Consider the following 13291-nt stretch of genomic DNA (forward strand, 5'->3'; position numbering starts at 1 on the left):
GTTATTCTTCAAAATATGTTCTTCAGTTTCAAAGTTGTTTTGGCTATTCTAGATTCTTTGCATTTCCATATGAATTTTTAGATTCATCTTGTCAATTTGTGTAAAATAGCCTGTTGAGATTGTGAGTAGCATTGCATTAAATCTGTAGATAAATTTGAGGAGAGCTGGCATATTAACCATATTGAGTCTTCTGACCCATAAGCACAGTACATCTCTCATTTTAGTTAGGTCTTAATAATTTCCGTCAACAGCATTTCATAGTTTTCAATGTGCAGATCCTAAACATCTTTTGTCAAATACATTACAAAGTATTTCTATTTTTGATGTTATTGTAAATGATATTTTAAAATAATTTCTGTTTCATCAGTTATCCAATATAAATTCAGTATCATAAAATTATTCATATTTCCTTATTATCCTTTTAATATCTGTAGACTGTGTAGCAATATCGTGCTTTCAGTTTTTATATTCTTAATTTGTGACTTCTGTGGTTTTTCCTGGTCAGTCTGTGATATGGTTTGGCCATGTTCCCACCTAAATCTCATCTTGTAGTTCCCATAATCCCCAAGTGTCATGGGAGGAACCCAGTGGGAGGTAATCATGGGGGTGGTTACCTCCATGCTGTTCTTCACTATTATGGCGGTTACCTCCATGATAATGAGTGAGTTCTCATGAGAGCTGATGGTTTTATAAGGGGCTTTTCCCCACATTCACTCTGTACTTCTTGCTGCCACCATGTTTGCATGTCCTTCCACCATGATTCTAAGTTTCCTGAGGCCTCCTCAGCCCTGAGGAACTGTGAATCAATTAAACCTCTTCCCTTTATAAATTACCCAGTCTTGGGTATTTCTTCCTAGCAGCATAAGAATGGACTAATACAGTCTGGTTAAAGCTTCTTTCATGTTTTAAAATCTTTTAACCAGCTTTTGGCTTTCTTGATCTTTGTGTATTATTTTTCTGTATTCTATTTCATTATATTCTGATTTGATATTTATGATTTCTCATCTGTTTTAAAGTTTGGTTGAATTTGCTCTTTTTTTTTTTTCCTAGTTTGTTAAGACGGAAGCTGAGGTCATTGATCTGAGACTTTTCTTTTTTTCTCATATAGGCAGTTAGTGCCTATATTTAGTGTTAAACACATTTCCCTGGAATTATTGCTGTAAGCAATATCCTACCTTAAAGAATATGTTGTATTTTAATTTTCATGTACTTAAAAAATCCTTCTAATTTTTTTTGATATGTTTTTTGACCCAGGAATTATTTAGTTGTGTTCAGTTTCCAACTATTTAGGGCCTTTCCAAATATCTTTCTGTTATTGATTTCTGTTATTAATCCTATTTTTGTGTGACTGGAATCCTTTAAAATTTATTGAGACTTGTTTTATGGACCAGAATATGGTCTTCCTTGGTAAATGCTTTTGCAAAGAATGTGCATTCTGCTATTGTTGCATGGAGTGTTCTTGAAATGTCTATTAGGTCAAGTCAGTTGATGCGTTGTTCACGTTTTTATCCTTACTAATTTCTGTCTATTTGTTATATCAATGGAGAAGAATGTTACATCAATGATGAAATGAAATTAATCAATAATTGTGGATTAGTCTATTTCTCCTTAAGGTTCTCTCAATCTTTTGCTTCATGTATTTTGAAACTCTGTTATTGGGTTCATAAATGTTTTGGATTGTTATGTTCTCTTGGTAAATTGATCCCTTTTTCATTATGAAATGATCATCTTTATCCCATGGAATATTCACTGCTTTGAAATCTACTTTCTCTGATGTTAATATAACCATTACAACTTTCTTTTGACTAATCTTATAATGGTATATCTTTTCCCGTTCATTTCCTTTTATTTGTGTTTATAGTTAAAATTGATTTCTTGTAGGTTGTTTATAATTGGGTCTTTTTAATCCAGCATGATAATCTTTGCCTTCTAAATGGGATGTTAAGGCTGTTTGCATTTAGTGTGAAAATTGATATGTTTAGGTTTAAATCTTTTTATTTCTTTTCTTATCCTATTTTATTATTTGTTTCCCTTTCCTCTTTTTATGCCTTCTTTTTGATTTTTTAAATGATTCTACTTAATATCCTTTGTTGCTTATTAATTATATTTTCTTGTTTTATTATTTTAGTGGTTGCTTTAGCATTTATAATATTTGTCTTCAATTTATTATAGTCCAAGAGATAGTATACCTCTAAGTGATATCATACCACTTCGTGTAAGAACATTACAAATTTCTCCCCTCCCAAGCTTGGTACTAATGCCATACATTTTACTTTTACCTACGTTGTAAACTCCACACCACGGATCTATTATTTTTGCTTTAAACAATCAATAAATATTTATCATTTTAGTTAAATTTAATTTCTTTGTGTGAAACCACATTTCTATCTGCTGTCATTTTTTTTTTTTTTTTTTTGCCTGATGGATTGCCTTTAGCATTTTTTATAGTGCAAGTCTGATGGTGACGAATTATTTTTGCTTTGGTATGTCTGAAAAAAAAAGCCTTTATTTCATCATTATTTTGAAAGCTGTTTTCGCTGGGTATAGGATTTTAGAATTGCAGTTTTTCTTTTATTTTAGTACTTCACTTTTACGTCATTATCTTTTTGCTTATGTTATTCCTGATGATTAACCTGCTGTAATCTTTATCTTTGTTTTTCTAATGTAGGGTTTTTTTTTTTCAGATACCCTTTAAGCTGGGTGTCCCAAATAGTTTACTTCAATTAGTATTTAGTATCCTGCTTTAAAAGCCTATCCAGTATTTTCATATCTGTTTTAATATTTAGCTCTTATTTTTCAATATAGGCCTGAAGTGTTAGAAGATTCACCTCTGGTTCCCCAAAAAGGCAGTTTTCAGATGGTTCACTGCAATTGCAGTGTTCATGAATGTTGTGAATGTCTTGTGCCTGTGCCAACAGCCAAACTCAACGACACTCTCCTTATGTGTTTGAAAATCACATCTGGTGGAGTAATTTTCCAGTCACCTCTAATGTCAGTTCAGCCCATAAATATGGGTAAGTTATGCACTAAAATGATGATAATAGGTCTAAACATCAGTCATATATAAAGGTTAAAAATTGCTTACAAAAATATTTGCTAGCTTATCTCACTTTGCTTAACACTGTAATGATGGTAGATGTAGTACTGGGGGTATTAAGAGTGGCTTCTAGAATGATTTAACAATGGTATGTATATCTCTGCCATTGTCACTTAAATTCTGTTTTGAAAACTGTTTTCTTTCAATCCTGGATCTATGTAATGGATGTATATTGATTGGATATCACTTTTTCACATCTCAGATAACTATTTTTGAAAATAGTAGCATGTTTCTTGCCTGAATTTATTCCTTCAATAAATATTTCTTAGAGGCTCATGTTTGTCAGAGACTGCTCCAGGAGCTGGAAAAAGAGTGGGACATTAGACATAGTTCCCACCTCAGAGAGCAGGGACAAACAATAGTAGGCAGAGACAATGATAAAAGAGTAAATGAGTAATTTACTGTACAAACATGATTACAAAAAACTTCAAATAATAGACAACACTCTGTTTTCTTTGTGCAAAGATCCCCCAAATCTCTTTTTATCAATTTAAATATACAATTACAAATGTGAATAATACAGGAAAATGTTAGCGCTATGTATTTAATTTATTAATTTCATTTAATTATGTATAATTTAGCAGTTTTTCTCCACTTATATTTCCTGAAACAATTATATGCAAACTCTTTATGTCTGATTTTGCATCATTGGTTTTGACATCACTAGAGCTGCTTTTCCAAGTATCTGATACAATTTTCCATACAACTCAAGCTTTACTTCTTTCTAAGTTACTCGAGATATAGCACTTTTTGAAACTGTGTATGACATCATATTTTAACATGAAGACTTTCAAATAATTTGTCCTGTAGGGATATAGTTGTGATCTCCACAACATAATTACAATGGCATACAAGCAATTCAATCGTGAAGTTATACCATAGAGAAAAAAGTTACAAAATCTTTATTCAATATCATTTTCTTTTCTTTGAAAACTAATTCTACCTGATGATTTTTTAGTAGCATTTAGAGTCAACATTGAGTGCATTGTTTTTCAAAATGAAGTAGGTAAGGGAAAGTGCTGTGGAATTTTAAAGAACTTGAAAGCTTTCTTAATTTTGTCTTTATGCAGAGATAATTTTGGGGAAAAGTATTTCCTTCTATTTGAATATATATTATAATATCCCCAAATTATATGTTCCATGAAAAAAATAAAACTGGTGTGATGGAGTGTCAGGGACTATTATTTCTACTATGTAGATCAAAGAAGATCTCCTTTAGGACATAGCATTTGAGCTGAATGAAGAAGAGATATCCATGCAAAAATCCAGAGCAAAAGGTGCTCCAAGCAGGAAGAACAATATTCACAAAATCCCTAAGATACAATGAACTTGGTAATTTGAGGAACAAAACAGAAGACCTTTGTGCTAGGAGTGAAAGAGATATGAGAGTATTAAGGGATGAGGTCAGAGTTACCTGGTCCAGAGCATATTGTAGGCCAGGGTGGAGAAGTAAAGAACTGTTTTGGTTTGGATCTGTTTGTGAGATGGTGCTGACTGGACTGTCTAGTGGATGGAGTTGTAGAGTGTGAAGGACAGAGGGGTATCAAGGATAACCTTTAAATTTAGACCTGAGCATCTAGGTGAACAGAGACACCAGATACTGAGATACGGAAACTCAGGGAAGATTAGGTGTGTGTACAGAAATCAAGAGCTCTATTTTGGACACATTGTATTTGAGATGTCTATTGGAAACCTAAGAGACGTTGAATAAGAGGTTGGACATATGAGTCTAAAGTTTAGGGGAGATATATATATTTGGGAGTTGTTAGCGTATCAAGGTTTATAGTATTGTATGAGATCACCTATTTAGAGTTCAGGAAGAGAAAGACTGAGGGGTTATCAGTAAGAATGAAGGAGTAAAAGAGTATGTTGTTGTAGAAGCCAAGTGAAAAAAATATTTCAAGAAGGAGGGAATAAGCATCTATGGAGTGCTGCTGAAAGGCCGAGTAAGGTGAACAGGAAATTGACATTGGGTTTATTTTTGTATTTCTAATATTAATGCATATTAATATTGTCAACCTAAAATGTATGACAGATACCAACTCTATAAAGCAAAAAGTTGATTTGGGAGTAGTAGGGGATTGCAGTTCTAGACATGCATGCTATGGAATGACTATGACACATCCACAGGGGATTGGAGTAAAGGGGAAGCTTGAAAAGACATATAGGAGACCTCCATGTAAGCTGTTTTGAACAAAGATTATTGGTTACAAGAGCTTGCTGCAGGGGTGGCATTAGCTCATTGGTGGAGACAGCCGTAGTTAGGCAAGTGTCTCTGTGCAAGCGGCTTTTATGGAATACTGTGGTTTTGAGGAATTCTTTACGTTGTTCCAATGTAGGCATACATATACATAAGGGGACTCCTTCATGGCCTCCCAACTCCATTGTGTTAGGGTTTCACACTAGTAACTCCAGTTTGATACTGATAACTTTTACAGTATGCAGATAGGAAATGTACAATAGCTTGTAATATTGTAATTTTACTTTTCTTTGGTATATATTGTTTTCTCTTTGGTCATGGAAACACAGTAAATTTCACCTGCTGTTTCCAGACTTTTGTGTTTAGCTGTCTCTGCTTTAAAGTAACTGAAATTTATAATACGTCTCATAAAGTAAAACCTCATTGATTTTGACTAAAAGAGGAAAATTGTGACCAAATTCTTGAAAATATAGAATGTGAAAATTATCTTATGCTCTTTATTTATTGAAAATAAAATTCAAATCAGTGTTTCAATTTAATGATAATTTCTATATATATGAATAATTCCTGTTAATTGTAAAAACCTTGCTAATATAGAGATGAACAAACAAGAAAATGCATCGATTTTCTATCACTTTGGCGATCTTTATATTTTAACTATATCAGGAATCCAAGTATAAATGTGTGTTAAACTTTCAAAATTTAAACATTAAACATTTTTAATATTCTGAGAAACTTCATCCCTACTTCTGATGACAAGCCAGGGACTGCTGATGCTGCATTTATTGCATGGGAATATTTATGCTGTCAGTTATTTGAGTAGGTTTGTCTAGATTATAGTGATCTAAAATTAATAGACAAGCTGAATTTTGGGTAGTTTTGTGTATTTCCAAATAGTGTTCTGCAAAATGCTTTTTTCCTTTTTAACCACTAAAATAATTGAAGTGGGTGAGGTTCAGGGGAGACTTCAGATAAGTTTTAGGATGCTGGGTTTAATAAAGTTAAGTGGGATTCTTACAAGGGGAAATCACATTTAGCAAAATAATCTCATTTACTGATTCATAGTCTTTACCACTTAAGGGGAGGGTAATGAATATACATGGATTGCTATGATAAGGTACAAGGACGAGACCCAGTATTCAAGCTTGTTTCGGTTCTATAATTAGTCCTTGGATAAAGTCACCTTTTAAGTACTTGAAAGGCAAGATATGATGAAAATTTATCTTGACTTTATTTTATTCAGCTATAATTGTCATGAAAATTACTTGACTTAAAAGTATTCTCTTTTTTTTCCTTAAGTGAAGCCTGATCCACCATTAGGTTTGCATATGGAAATCACAGATGATGGTAATTTAAAGATTTCTTGGTCCAGCCCACCATTGGTACCATTTCCACTTCAATATCAAGTGAAATATTCAGAGAATTCTACAACAGTTATCAGAGAAGTAAGTATATTTTAGTAAGTAAAAGGAAAAGTTGAGAAGTAAATAAAGACCCTCTTAAGTCCCATAGCAATTACCCTCTGCATACTAAATATATACATTTCTTCTAAAGCAGAATGAATTATAATTCAACATTTCATATTATATATCATATATAGATAGATATACGTATGTATATATATGGCTATAGGAAATCTAGTTACAGAAACTTGAATTCATAATTACAATTATTTTCCACCAACAGACCACTGATTTCATCTTTTTTTTAATTGCTCAATCTATTTGAATGTTTTTCTGAATGTGGCAACAGAAAGATTTTTGCTTGGCTAATCATTAGTCGAGCTTCTGAATCTTCTGCTAGCCCGATCTGTGCACATTCCTGTAAAATCCAGTTTTAGCAAAGAACTCTGCTAGGTCATTTTAGCAGGAACACCCCCACCCTGGATATCTGATGAATATTTGATCAGATTTCTCATCCTCCACCATTCCCCAAATGATGTTTGATCACCATGGCCTGTCTTCAGCAAGAATTCTGTTAGGTCAGTTTAGCCAGAATCCCTCTTACCATGATGTTTTTGCTTAGTAATTTTCTATCTACTCCCTCCTTCTTGGCTATAAATTCCCTGTTGTCCATGCTGTGTTTGGACTTAGCCCACATACCCCGACCCACCACAAGACCCCATTGCAGTGCTCCATATACCTATTGTGATGATTCCAAATAAAGTCTTCCTTACTTCCTTTCTCTTTTTCTTTAACAGTTCGTTCCGTAAGTATTTATTGAACACCTGCTACATGCCTGGAACTGTTCTGCTTGCATCAGGATACACTGAGATAGCAGGACAGGATAAGAGGAATCTGGGGGTGCTGGTAGGGAATGGAAGGTTGCAATAATAAATGGAGGTTGGGGAGGGTGACATTTGAGCAAGGATGTGAAGGAGATGGTAATGTAGATATCTGGGTAGTTGGGTTCTAAACAGGGAGAACAGCAGTGCAAAGGATGGTGTGGCTGAGGGCAGTGAAGGTGACAGCAGTAGTGGTTGAATTCAGAGGCCAGCAGGGGAAGAGAATGTGGAGCTCAATGAAAGGCCTCTTGGGCCATGTGAATACTTTGGCACTTTACTTTGTGAAACTAAGTTTCATATAATTTAGAAGTAAAAATCAGTCTTTTTAGAACTGGCAAAAAAATTTAAAACATTTTATTTTCACAAAGAGAATGATGGGAATCCTCAGTGTCACATATGGAGAAAACAGAGTTAAGGCTTCTGTGGGTTTCAGCTTTCTTATCTGTAAACTGGAGATAATTTGTGAACTTGAGGATTTTAAATAGGAGTTATTAATATCTGATGTTGTTTTATGCATTCCTGATGCTTTTCATAATTTTTAGTCTGTGACATGCTCCCCTTACCCCAAGAGCAGTCATTAGAGCCAGAGAATTTATTAACTTTGGAGTACATTTTTGGGAAGCTGAATTTTGATCTCCTAGGCTCAAGTGATCCTCCTGCCTCTTTTTTTTTTTTTTTTTTTTAAGAGATGAGGTATCACTATGTTGCTCAGGCTGGTCTTGAACTCCTGGGCTCAAGTGGTCTACCCACTTCGGTCTCCCAAAGTGTTGGGATTACAGGCATGAGCCACCATGCCTGACCAGGCTCAGGTTCTTAAGACTTTTCATGCTCTTCTGTACAGGGACACTTGTAGTTCTTTGTCTACCCCTGCACAGCATTTTCTACCAGGTGTGTGTTATAGGTGTCAGTAGTGGCTTAAAGCTTCCCACAGATTTTAGCTGCATTTCTTAAAATTCTAAAGGTCATATATTCATCATGATTCAATTAACAGTATTTGTTAATTATCATTATGATTTTTTCTTGGACCCATGGGCTATTTAAAATTTTATTGACTAATGTGCAAACTTTTTTTTTGGTTATTGATGTTTGTTTTAATTCCGCTGTGGCCAGATAACTACTGTGTAAGATATTAATTCTTTGAAATTTGATGAGATTAGCTTATCCTCACTTTTAGTAAAGGTTCCACATCAACTTGATGTTCTGATGTTTTAATATAATATTTAACAGGCTGACAAGATTGTCTCAGCTACATCCCTGCTAGTAGACAGTATACTTCCTGGGTCTTCGTATGAGGTTCAGGTGAGGGGCAAGAGACTGGATGGCCCAGGAATCTGGAGTGACTGGAGTACTCCTCGTGTCTTTACCACACAAGGTAGGTTATGTAATAGCCACTTCTACTGGGAGGGAAATATATTTCCTGAACTTGCCTTTGTATAGTATAAGCATCTTACATTTTGAGGCCTTAAAATGAAAGGAGGAACACAGTATCAACTTCCTTGTTTAAACTTTGAACAGGCCAATTTGTGAATTAAAATTCTGTCAGAGCCTCTAGGCTTGTGTGTTTCTATTGCAGTATATTGTAGGATCACTTTTCCTATTAAAAAGAAAAAATTAATATAACAGCTCCAAATTAACAAACTCAGAAAGCCATTTGTATTGATAATTCCTTAATTTACATTTTAAAACCAAGCATATTTATTTGACATAAAATTCAAATATTAACATTTTACTTTATATTATATAATAAATGAATTATTTTTACTCCAGATGCTTGCTTTTGAGAGTTTTCAGTGCCAATGTTCATATTTTAAAGGTTATTTTTAGCATCGGAACATCTACAGTTCATTCACAGCTTCTTCATGCAGCTGATGCGCAAAGTTTTGCATAGAGGCTCCAGAGGCTTGGAATGGTCCTAGACCTGTTGCATGCAAAGTTGGGACTATAGAAAGACAATAGTCCTTTGGCTGGTTGTCCGATCTGTCAAAAGGGCAAAATTTTTCTTGTTCAGACTTACTGAGATTGATTATGGCCTGTACAGAGATAACAGGTACCATGCAAATATCAATCCATTTAACAAGTTTACTTGTTGATTGCTTACTATTTTAAAAGCATTGATTCGTCAAAAGGCAAGTAGCAATAGTAGTTTAAGACATTGACTTCGGAGTCCAACAGAAGTTTATAGGAGTTCTGGCTCCACCACTTATTTGGAAAGTTTCTTAACCTTTCTATGCCTTAATTTCCTTATCTGTAAAATAGGGATGTTTTACATGGATATGAAATATCCATATAAAATTAAATAATGAAATGAAATAATTAACATTGGTCATGTGAAGAAAACCATTATTGTTTTCTTATTCTGCAAATTAAAAATTGCATAGTATGTCATATGCAGATAAAATGTGTATCTATATTATTAAAATTTTGCAAATTAAATATTCAATATCTCATATCAATTTCAATAAATTTATCCAGTGTAAATTTCACAAATTGTCAGGTTTTTATTAACTTAGTTTTCTTATTTTAAGCTAATATTTTAGCATCTAATCATGTAAAAATACTATGACTTTAATCTTATTTCTCAGTTAAGCCTTACTATATGTATTTGATTTCAAAGTGAAATGCTTTGAATTTTCTTGTCATCTTTAAAATGAAAAACTTCAGCTTAATCCATGAAAACTCAATTATATTTTTTATTTTTAAATAAGAATTATTCTGAGACTTTTGAGGCAGTTGAGTAAGGAGGTTGTGGCGCATACTGAAGGTAGGTTAAGATAGGTTAATGTACTAGGTACTTGTCCACAGTAAGTAATGTACAAGTGAAGCTTGAGTGCCACCTCGGCTAGGATTATACTCAGTCACGCTCATAAATCTAATGGTCTGGCTCCTGTGCAGTAATTTTATGCTACTAAGTTTTTTCCTGTTTCTATTTGATTATGGACATACAAAACACAAATGTTTTGTATGAATTGTAAATATATAGACATTGACGTTTACCATGCTATTACAGAATAAAGAAAACTTAATAAAAACCAATTAAAGTATTTTTGTTTCTGTTTTTAAGGGTAATCCCAAGATATGTGTGAAAACAAATTTTCATAGTCTATCAACAGAAAATGGTTTACCTTAACTTTACAACTGAAATGTACTGACGTTTTTGCAGTGCACTGTGGTGGAAATAATTTCTTCCTATGTAAACCATCATTTACTTGTATCTCGCATGTCTTTGAAAATGATAGGCAAATGAAATTTACAACAACAGAGGACTTTAAAAATAGTATAGAATCATGTGTAGGCATTAAAAAAATCATGTTTTAGGAAAATATCGCTTCCCTTTACCCTCATCCATAGGATATTGGCATTAAATAACTCAAAATGATAGTACAAACCAGTATTTCCCATTTTCTCTGCTTTGTATATTGCTGCATTATCATTCATACGACATTCCTATTTTTTAATTTATATCTCGTATCTTTACCTACTTACTTGAAATTTTTATGTATCCAAACAAGACAATAGCGGCAATCATTTTTACTTCAGGATTTGGCTTCATAGTGATTTGCTTTAAGAACTTGTCCTAGTTTCACTGATTCCCAAAGCAGGGTCTGTTGGAAAATATGTCATTGTTGAATTAAGCTATATTTTGTTTTAGTCACTTTCCTGCCTATCAGTTAGCAAGTGACAATTACTGGCTAAAACATATTTTATGATGAATAAGCCTCTGTGTTTAGAAGATAGTAAAGACATTCATGGAAGCTCAACTCACTTTAGAATGAGAGCACTCGGGACACTAGATAACTGTACACAAACAGGTAATTTCAGCATTATCCAGTTTTTAAATTACACTCATTTTATTTTTGGCAGTGTAACTCTGGAATGTGTTGTGAATATTTTTCGATGTGGTACAAATTACTTACAGAATGTTTTGTCTTCATCTGATATCCTTTCTTCCCTCATTACAGATGTCATATACTTTCCACCTAAAATTCTGACAAGTGTTGGGTCTAATGTTTCTTTTCACTGCATCTATAAGAAGGAAAACAAGATTGTTCCCTCAAAAGAGATTGTTTGGTGGATGAATTTAGCTGAGAAAATTCCTCAAAGCCAGTATGATGTTGTGAGTGATCATGTTAGCAAAGTTACTTTTTTCAATCTGAATGAAACCAAACCTCGAGGAAAGTTTACCTATGATGCAGTGTACTGCTGCAATGAACATGAATGCCATCATCGCTATGCTGAATTATATGTGATTGGTAAGAAAACAGAGGTTTTGTTCATTTTGTTCCACAACTTGAATTTTCATTATGGACCCTCCTTATATTAGAGTCCTGTTAAAGATGTAAGAAAAAATTTTTTTCATTGAATTTTTTGGAGTTTTTGCTTTATATTAATATTTTAATATGTTTCAAATAGATGTCAATATCAATATCTCATGTGAAACTGATGGGTACTTAACTAAAATGACTTGCAGATGGTCAACCAGTACAATCCAGTCACTTGCGGAAAGCACTTTGCAATTGAGGTATCATAGGTACGTATTATTTTTGCTGTTTTGTTTTTCTGTGGGCACAGTGAGATAAAAATTTTCTTTAGAAATATTACAACAGTAGTCTTACAGATTATTTGCTTCCTGAAAGAGGAAAGTATAATATAATGAATCAGGAAATTTTTGAGGGATTATATAAATTGGTGATTCTTGAAAAATATTCACACCTGAGATTAAAAAATTGTAATTTGTTTTTACTTCAAATTATCTTTTCTGAAAATCAATCAATTCTGAAAAATTTGTATTTTAACTCTTGAATGAAATGCAAGAAAATGTAGTTTATATATATTTTAATTTGACTTAGTTGACTAGAGGAGAATGTGAAAGATTATAAAAGTTTCGTATCATTTGGCTAAAGATTAATGTTTTGGAAAAAAGAGGTAAAAACAGATTATAAGAGATAATATGAATGGTTTTTAGAACTGAGTGAGATTACTTAGGAAATAAATACTTATGGTTAATAAAGGGTAATGTGTTCTAATGAGAAGTAATTTGTGCTTGTTTATTTTTACTCTTCTATGTTTTAAAAAGAATTCAAGGCATCGTCTTATAGTGGTCCCTTTCTTTCTAAAATCATTTTATCTAAAATGATACAACCCTTGATTATATAATAGATTTTTATTTTTAAAAATATCCCATAGTAGTAGTCAAGTAAATATATACTGCTGTTAAACACTGTGTCCCAATTTATATTTTTATTTGTAGTGGAGACTTTCAATTTGTATAACATGCTCATTTATTCTTAAAATATAAATTTTCAACTAGAAAAATAAATCCCTTCTCTCAAATACTGTGATCTGAAGTCTATTCCTAATGCTGCCAGTCTCTTCTTATGTAGCGTTAGGAAAAAAATGTGGCAATTCGTACATTTCTCAAATAGCTGCCTTCATCCTACCTAATATGAGTATTTTAAAATCAGTAGAATTGTTCATGATATGAAATTTTACTTTTATAATCTGTCTTTACATTCTTTTCATGGCATTTTCACATTAGAAAAGGTGTTTATGGAAAACTATTATGTTAAGCCCCATGCCTTGTTTCTCTTATTAACATTTACAGAATAACTATGAAACTACATTTACTTGGGTGAGTTTCTTAACTTCCCTAAGCCTCAATTTCCTTGTCTGTAAAACAGAGAGAATAATAGGACTTACAGTGTTTCTGCGA

At 32.9% G+C, this 13291-nt stretch overlaps 1 protein-coding gene across 6 annotated transcripts in view; it reads left to right on the forward strand.

Moving 5' to 3' along the window:
* The window catches only part of LEPR (leptin receptor), a 220908-nt gene that overhangs the window by 169200 nt on the left and 38417 nt on the right, over positions 1-13291 (forward strand). For all 6 annotated transcript variants that reach the window (NM_001003679.3, NM_001003680.3, NM_002303.6 and 3 more), the window contains 5 exons: positions 2806-3014; positions 6597-6742; positions 8809-8953; positions 11541-11831; positions 11992-12109. In NM_001003679.3, the coding sequence (NP_001003679.1) occupies positions 2806-3014; positions 6597-6742; positions 8809-8953; positions 11541-11831; positions 11992-12109 (909 nt within the window). The remainder of the gene's footprint in view (positions 1-2805; positions 3015-6596; positions 6743-8808; positions 8954-11540; positions 11832-11991; positions 12110-13291) is intronic.

The sequence above is a fragment of the Homo sapiens genome, chromosome 1, assembly GCF_000001405.40.
Source record: "Homo sapiens chromosome 1, GRCh38.p14 Primary Assembly".
Taxonomy (NCBI): domain Eukaryota; kingdom Metazoa; phylum Chordata; class Mammalia; order Primates; family Hominidae; genus Homo; species Homo sapiens.